General features: G+C 36.4%; 1 annotated feature.

The window, feature by feature from the left end:
* Positions 310–1,509: an enhancer, noted in NCBI's record as "MED14-independent group 3 enhancer chr10:44664362-44665561 (GRCh37/hg19 assembly coordinates)". NCBI's record gives its function as "activates an origin of replication core promoter dependent on BRD2, BRD4, P300/CBP and CDK7 cofactors, and independent of MED14, by STARR-seq in HCT116 cells {active_cell/tissue: HCT116}" and the evidence as "EXISTENCE:reporter gene assay evidence [ECO:0000049][PMID:35650434]".

The following is an 8,392-nucleotide window of genomic DNA, read 5'->3' as shown; positions in this document are numbered from 1 at the left end:
CCTGACCCACACCTGACGCTTTGATAGTGCGCACACGCCACACTCCAGGCTGACAGTGGCTTCATCATTGCTTCTGTTCTGAGCTTCGCTTCGTGGAAGGATGTCCCTTTCAGAGTTCCAGCTCTGAATAGAATATCTCAGTACAGCTCCAGCCTTCTGCAGGTCCTCGACCCCACCTTCCGTCCCAGCAAGGGCATTTGGTCCCCAGCCCCAAGCCATGAGCCTCTCTGTCCAGATGATTCTGCCCCTCTGCTGGCCAAAGCATCTGACCACAAGCTTCCTTTTCTAGCTTTACGTTTCCTTTTCATTTCTAGAATATGGGGATTTTTCTTCCTTTCTACTAAGTTCAGTTGTGTCTGAAAAGACTTTATTTTGGTTTCACTTATCCAGGATTTTTCTGCTTTTATAACTGGAAAGTACCGTACAATGGATCTATCCTCTGTTGCATGAACTAGAACCTTCCCAATGGACTCTGCGGGCCTTCAATTAGGACATGTGGTTTATTCAGCATTCAGCAAGTGCCTGCAATGTAGAAGATATTTAGACTTTTAACTACTGAATAAATAAAAACCCAAGATGAGCCTCATCTCCTCTGTTTGGCAGCCAGATCTTAGGAAAGCCATAAAATCCCTCTAGGCCTCCATTTCTTCATTGTCAATTCAAATGAAAGTAACTCTTCCCCTTGCTGCCTCACACAAAGAATGAATTGTGAAAATCAATGAAATAATGTTACAGAAGAACTTTAAAAACTCCTAAAGCCCTAGTTAAGCGAAATTACTAACATTGTTATTATAATCAGGCAAAATAATATCATTCACTTCTTTTTCACCAGGATACAGAGAACGAGAGAGGACTGCGTTTCTGTGACCTCTGCCTAGGGACGTCAAATGCCTAAAGTGACATCACGACGCAGTCCAGAGAGCTCTGGGATGCTCTCTATACCCTTCGGCCAGGCACAGTGGCTCACGCCTGTAATCCCAGCACTATGGGAGGCCGAGGTGGGTGGATCACCTGAGGTCAGGAATTCGAGACCAGCCTGGCCAACATGGTGAAACCCCGTCTCTACTAAAAATACAGGTGGTGAGCGCCTGTAATCCCAGCTACTCGGGAGGCTGAGGCAGAAGAATCGCTTGAACCTGGGAGGCGGAGGTTGCAGTGAGTCGAGATCATGCCATTGCAACCTAGCCTGAGCGAAAAAAGCTAGACTCCATCTCTCCATCTTTAAAAAAAAAAAAAAAAGATAGTTATATCCTTCCTCTGCACTTCTGTATTCAAATATTTCATATAGCAAAGCTCAAACTTCTCCCTTTAAACTTGGCCCTGCCACTCATCCCGTCTCTGTCCGGTGTTGGGGGAAGGTGAATTCAATGCCGGCAGCCTCGCCGAGTGTCGCCATCTTACCCTAAGCAGCAGTTCTCTCTGGCCCTCAGTTTCTGCTTCAGTTTATCCAATGGCTTACTTTTTTCACAAATACTTATTGAATGCCAACAGCATAACAATGATCCAGGAGGTGTATCTTCTCACTTTTGGGCTTAAACATACCGGTGGTGTGGGAAAAAAATGCAGCAAATGTGTTATCAATGGAAGCATTTGCTGTAAGAGTTTTTTTTTTTCCTTAGTTTCACTTGTTCTAGATCTAATCAAACACTTTTCAATAAGTCAACAGAACTCTCCTCCTAAAACCCTGTCTGGTTTTTTCACCTTATCTTTAGCTCCTCTCCCACGCATGCTCCATGGTTTCCTGACTTGGTGCCTCTGCAGTGCTGCTGCTGCCTCCACCACGCCCAGTTCTTCAAAGCCTCCTCTGGGCACAAAGCTGAGCTCCCATCCTCTGCTCGTCCTCTGCCCTCCCCATTCAGTGGAGCTGGCGCCCTTCACTTCACTTCAGCAGGTGAGGCTGCCTGTGCCTCTCTCGGCTCTTACAGCTGTCAGACACTGCATTTATTTAGGCAGTCACCTTCTCTCCCGTTCGAAGATTTTTGTAAACTGAGCCTCTATCTTACCTTGGCATCCCCATAGAACCAAGCACAGCATCTCATCTAAAATTAGTACCTAGTAATGTGTCCAGAGGTTAGTTTAATTTGGATGAATATGTGGTAAGTTTTCAGTGCAAAGGGAACCATTGCGAAAGAATAAAACAATAAAATAAATAAAACAACAAAACCCCAGGCAACAAATGAAGCAAAATCAAATTAAAATTGTGCATTAATCAGTACTACAAAGTGATCAATGGCAATTTGTTTCTTTAATCATGAGAAACAATCATGAGAATACCTTAGAAAGTTCTTAGCCCATTACTTTGAACCCAGGGTTCTAAGAAAATTTCTCACTGGGCTCCGTACTTTCTTCCTGCAATATCATTTTCCCTATTGAGCAGATGCACAAATCAAAGCACAGAAAAAGAAATGTCATGGAGGACACACATTCCCCGGTCACAGTCAGAGCCAGAAATAAGACAGAGGCATTTGTATCTCGCCCTTTGGCCAATGGCTCACACTGCCTTGCTCAGTAGTGATTGTCATTAGCTATGAAGCACAGAAAGTGTAGTTCCTGGTTGTCTGTGAACAATGAGGCATTTCAGATCAACGTGGGAGGAGGAATAACATGGGATTGATAGCAAATCGGCATTCATTCATTCATTGGCTCTCGAATATTTGGTATGCATTACAATATGGGGGATGGGGGGAAGGGGAGGGAATCGATGTTTCTAACAGGACCCAGAGGGTCCTGATGCAGGCAGTCCTTGGACCACCCTTAGTGAAATTGAACTAGATTTGCGTAGTTCAAAAAGGAGTGAGACAGATCTGTTCACTGTTTTGCAACTGGCTTTTTTTAACTTTCAAAAATATCTTGCAGATAGTTCCATATCAGAACATATTGGTGTCTATTATTATTCTTTATACAGCTGCAGAATATCTCATATAGCCAGTCCCATGGTGATGAATATTTAGGTTGTTTCCAAATGTCTACTAGATTTGAAAGAGAGAGAGAGACACAGAGAGAGGGATCACGTTGACATTTTTGTACATACATTATCCCACATATGTGCAAGTATATCTTTAGGAAGAATTCTTAGAAATGGAATTTCTAAATCAAATAACATGTGCTATTTAAATTTTTTATAGATATTTCCAAGGTTTCCTCCATAAAGGCTGAACCTGACCATGTAGTTTTAAAATAATATATATTTACTTCCTACTATGAATAATAATGCATTGTTTTAGTTTCCTTCCTTTTCCATTCTTTTTGCTAAGTATTTTTTTAATTACCTCATTACACTGGATAGAACCTTTTGAGCAATGTTGAATAGAACTGGTGAGAGCAGACATATTTCACCATTATCATGTTAGCCACATTTCATATCAATGAAATTCCCTTGTATTTCTAGTTTGCCGAGAGTCCATTTTCTGAATCAGAAGTAAAGTTAAATTTTGGCAAGTGCTTTTACTGCATCTATTAGGATAATTATATGTTTTTCTTTTACTCTGTTAATGCGATAAATTATACTGAATGATTTTTAAATGTTAAACCAACACACAATCCTGGGAAAAACCCTGCTTGATCACGATGTTCATATTTTTATGTATTGTTGGATTCATTTTCTTCAATTTTGCTAAGAATTTAGTGTCTATGCTCTTAAGGAACATTGTAGCTTCCTTTTCTTGTAATGCCTTTGTTTGGTTTTGGTTTCAGAGTTACACTGGCCTCAGCAATTGGGAAGAGTTCTTTCATTGCTTTTCTGAACATGTTGGTGTAACATTGGTATTTTTTTCTTAAACATCTGGTAGAACTTATCAGTGACTCTATCTAGGCTCAGACATCTTGTGGGGATGATAGCAAAGTAAAATGCATTTGTTACTAAGGGTTGAAATAGAAAAAAAAAATTGAGAGGCTGCTCTAGAGAAACACACATGTGCACAAAACATGTACAAGAATGTCCATAGAGTGGTCCGCAGCTGGGGGACAGTGGAAACCCACATGCCTGTCATTGTCTGCTTAGGCTCCTTTAACAAAGCGCCATTGACTGGGTAGTTTATAAGCCATGGAAATGTAATTCTCACAGTTCTGGAGGCTGGAAGTCCATGACCATGTGCCAGCCTGATTGGGTTCTGATGAGGTGTGTCTTCTGGGTTGTAGATGACCAACTTCTTGCTGTGTCCTCACTCAGTGGAAGAAGATTTAGAGATTTCTTTGTAGGAAAATTTTTGATGATGAATTCAGTTTCTTTTATATATGTAAGTATTCAGATTTCTTACTTTGTCTCTTGTCAGTGTTGGCAACTTTTTTTTTTTTACAGAATTTCTCCATTTTATCAAGTTGTCAAATTTAATTGTTTCATATTATTCAGTAAGTCCTCTTATTGTCTTTTTGATGTTTTCAGATTTATACTGATAGGCTCTTTATTATTTCTGATAATGGTATTTTGTGTTTTCTTTTCTTTTTTTTCAAATCTTACCAGGAATTTATCAGTTTTATTAATTTCGTCAAAGGGCAAATGTTGGCTTTGTTAAGTTTCTCTATTGTCTGCCTATTTTCTACTTCGTTGATTTCTGCTTTTTGTTATTTTATTCCTTCCACCACATGGGCTTTACTTTGCTCTTCTCCTTTTTCTAGCTGGTTAAAGTAGACGTTTAGATCATTGATTTTATATTTCTTTCTTTCCAGCATAGTCAGTGAAAGCTATACATTTCTCTCTAGGCATTGCTTTTGTTACATCCCACAAGTCTTGATTCATTTTATTTCCCTTGTAATAAAAGGTAAAGCATTTTCTAATTCCCCTTATTTCTTTTTAAATTCATGAGCTATTTAGAAGTGTGCTGTTTATCAAGTATTTGAAGGTTTTCCAAAATTTTTAAAAATCTGGTTGAATCCTGTTATGGTCACATAATTTTATTATTTCAATTCTTATAAATTCCTTATCATTATGGCCTAACAAATGGTCTCTTTTGATGAGTGTTCCATCTGTGCTTTAAGAGTATGTGTGGTGCAATTGTTCGACGTATTATCCTATGAAAGTACACTAAATTAAGTGTATTCATTGTGTTTTTCAAGTTGTTCAAAATATCCTTAATGATATTTTGTCTTTTAGTTTCTATCAATTACTAAGAGTACAGCGTTAAAAACCTTAACTATGATCGTGAATTTGCCTAAAAACCTTTTAATTCGGTTTTGCTTCATGTATTTTTGAAACTCATATTAAGTACATAAACATTAATGATTGTGATATTTTCATGATGGATTGAGAATTGTATTAATATCTCTCATAGGAAGTGTGTCCAGAATGGTGGAACAAGACTCTCCCAAAATATGATCATCCTAAAAGCAACTAGAATATTGACAAACTATATCACAATTAACTTTTTCAGAACTTTGGAAATTAACCAAAAGCCTAAAACTATCCAAGGAGTATTTACTCAAGGAAAAGAATGTCTGAATCTCAGAAAAAGAACAAGCTCTGTGGTATTTTAATTTGTCCTATTCCCATCCTTCTAAATTCAGGTCCATGGTTTCTTTGAAAACCATAAGACTCGGGATCATGGTGGGTGTGAAAAACAGGAGCTTAGCAGACACGGAGGGGAAAGAAAGGCTTTGGAGCTTCCCCAAAAGCCCCACTCTCAGCTACCTGAGAGTCCCAATAGCAGAGCTTGTCTTCATTTGACCTGACTCAGGCCTGTGACCTATTCACAGGCAAGCCCTGTGAATAGAATCCTATCTCCAGGGCATTATTGAAAAAATAAATTAATTGCAATTAACACTCAAGCTGCCTGAAGTAAAAAATGATAAGGTAAACACATGTTTTTAAAATAATAAGGGAAACATGTTTTAAAAAAAATTTTAAAGAAAATCTGGCAAATGAGATTTCCATAAGTAGTTTTGAAGAGCTCTGACATATTTCTGGAAGTCTAGAAGGTCATGCACACGGACATGGCTATCAGCATGCTCAGGAAAGACCAGAAAGGGACCTAAGCTCTTACCTCTGGCTGACCTTGTGGTGCTGTGTGATCACAAAGTGAAGGCTAAGGGAGAGTCAGTAACTGCTGGAACTTTGAAGGCATTCCTCAACATACTTTGGCAAAAGGTGGGAGATTTAATTGATTCAAGGCATTTAAGGAAATCTACATCCAATATTTAGTTTCAGTTTACCACTATGTAAACTGAGTAGAGATTTCAGTCTCCACACATGGAATACATACTTTACAGAAAAATCGCTAAACAGGAAAACAACATCAACAATAGCAAAAGGCAACAACAAACTCAAAGGGAGGGGGTGCGATCTGATTTGCAGAGTTGCCATATCACATTAGTTAAAATTAGTTAAGTTCTGTGGCATTAAGTATATTTGCATTATTGTGCAACTATTACCACCGTCCACCTCTAGAACTATTTCATCTTCCCAAACTCGAACTGCATTGTTTTAAGTTAGCATATTAATTTTAATCTGACCTATTTTGAGAAAATAACTCAATGAAATATAGTAAAATAAAATACAAGAGACTTAAAATGACATCAGAGAGAAATGTTTACTTAACATAAAAGAAGGTAATAATAGAGGAACAGAGAAACAAAAAAAAACAAAAAAGACATAAAACACAAGTAGTAAAATCCTAAGTTATCAGTAATTATGTAAACATAAATGGTTTGAACATATCAATTAAAAACAGAGATTGATAAAATAGATTTAAAAAAAAACACATAAGCCAACTGTATGCCATTTAGAAGAGGCGTACTTTAGGTTCAAAAACAAGAAGATTGAAAATCAAAGTATGGAAAATGTAATGCTATGCAAACAATAAGCAAAAGAGTGCTAAAGTGGCTACACTGGTAACAGATAAAATAAGCTTTAAGACAAAAAGTGTTGCTAAAGACAAGGACATTTTATAATCATAAAAGTGTCAATCCATCAAAAAGATATAAAAATTATAAACATACATTCACCTAACAATAGAATCCCCAGATACATGAAGCAAAAATTAAAAGGACTGAAAGGAGAAATAGATAAATCAACAATAATAGTTAGAAAAATTGACACCCCACTTTCAATAATGGATACAAAAAACGGATCAACAAAGAAATAGAAGACCTCAATGACACTGTAAACCAACTAGATATAACAGACATCTACATAGTACTCCACCCAAGAACAGCAGAATATACATTCTTCTCAAAAGCACAAGAACATTCTTCAAGATAGACCATATGTTAGGCCATAAAAAGCCTGAATAATTGCTAAAGGATGACATTATACAATCACAGTGAAATAAAATTAGAAATCAATAACAGAAGGAAATTTTGCAAATTCACAATAATGTAGTAATTAAATGCCACCTTTCTAAATAACCAATGAATCAAAGAAGGAATCAATGGAAATTAGAAAATATGTTGAGATAAATGAAAGTAAAAACACAATACACCAAAACTGATGCAATGTAGCTGGAGCAAATCTTAGAAATCTCAAATCAGTTACCTGATCTTCCACCTTAAAAAAACTAGAAGAATAAACTGAATCCAAAAAAGCAGAAGAAGAAAGAAAATAATAAATGTTAGAATGAAAATAAATAAGAGAATAGAAAATCATTAGAGAAAAATCAATGAAATCAAGTTGATTCTCTGAAAAAAATCTATTCAATTGAGAAAACCTCAGTTATATTGACCAAAAGATAAAAGACTTAAATTACTGATATCGGAAATGAAAGAGAGAATATCACCGTCAGCATTACAGAAATAAAATATATATATTATAAATATTAAACTGTGACAATTCTATGCCAACAAATTAGATAATCTTGATAAAATAATAAATCCTAGCAAGATACACACTACTGAAAATAACTCAAGAAGAAATAGAGTATCCGAATAGTTCTTTAACATGTAAAGAGAAGGAATTAGTAATTAATCAGTTTTCCCCCAAGAAAAGTCTTCACTGGGGAGTTTTTATGAAATATCTAAAGAAGAATTAATAACAATCCTTCATAAACTCTTCCAAAATATCTAAGACGAGCATAGGCTTTCCAGCTCACTCTGTGAGGCCAATATTACCTTGATACCAGAATCAGACAGAGATATCAAAAGAAAAGAAAACTATAGACCAATATATCCTATGAATATAGGCACAACAATCCTTAACAAAATACCGGCTAGCCAAATCCAGCAACATATAAAAGGAATTGTACACCATAATCAAGTGGGACTTATCCATAAAATGCAAGGTCTATTTCATATGTTTAACATAAGAAATAAATATCATATCAATGTAATGCATATTACTAGAATAAAGGACAAAACCAAATAATTTATGTCAATAGACAAAGAAAAAGCATTTGACAAAATTAAAGCCCCTTTCGTGATAAAACAAAACACCAAATTGGGAAAAGAAGGGTAGTTCCTCTTTCTG

This window comes from Homo sapiens, chromosome 10 (assembly GCF_000001405.40).
Source record: "Homo sapiens chromosome 10, GRCh38.p14 Primary Assembly".
In the NCBI taxonomy this organism is placed as follows: domain Eukaryota; kingdom Metazoa; phylum Chordata; class Mammalia; order Primates; family Hominidae; genus Homo; species Homo sapiens.
This window is presented reverse-complemented; position numbering and strand designations above follow the sequence as displayed.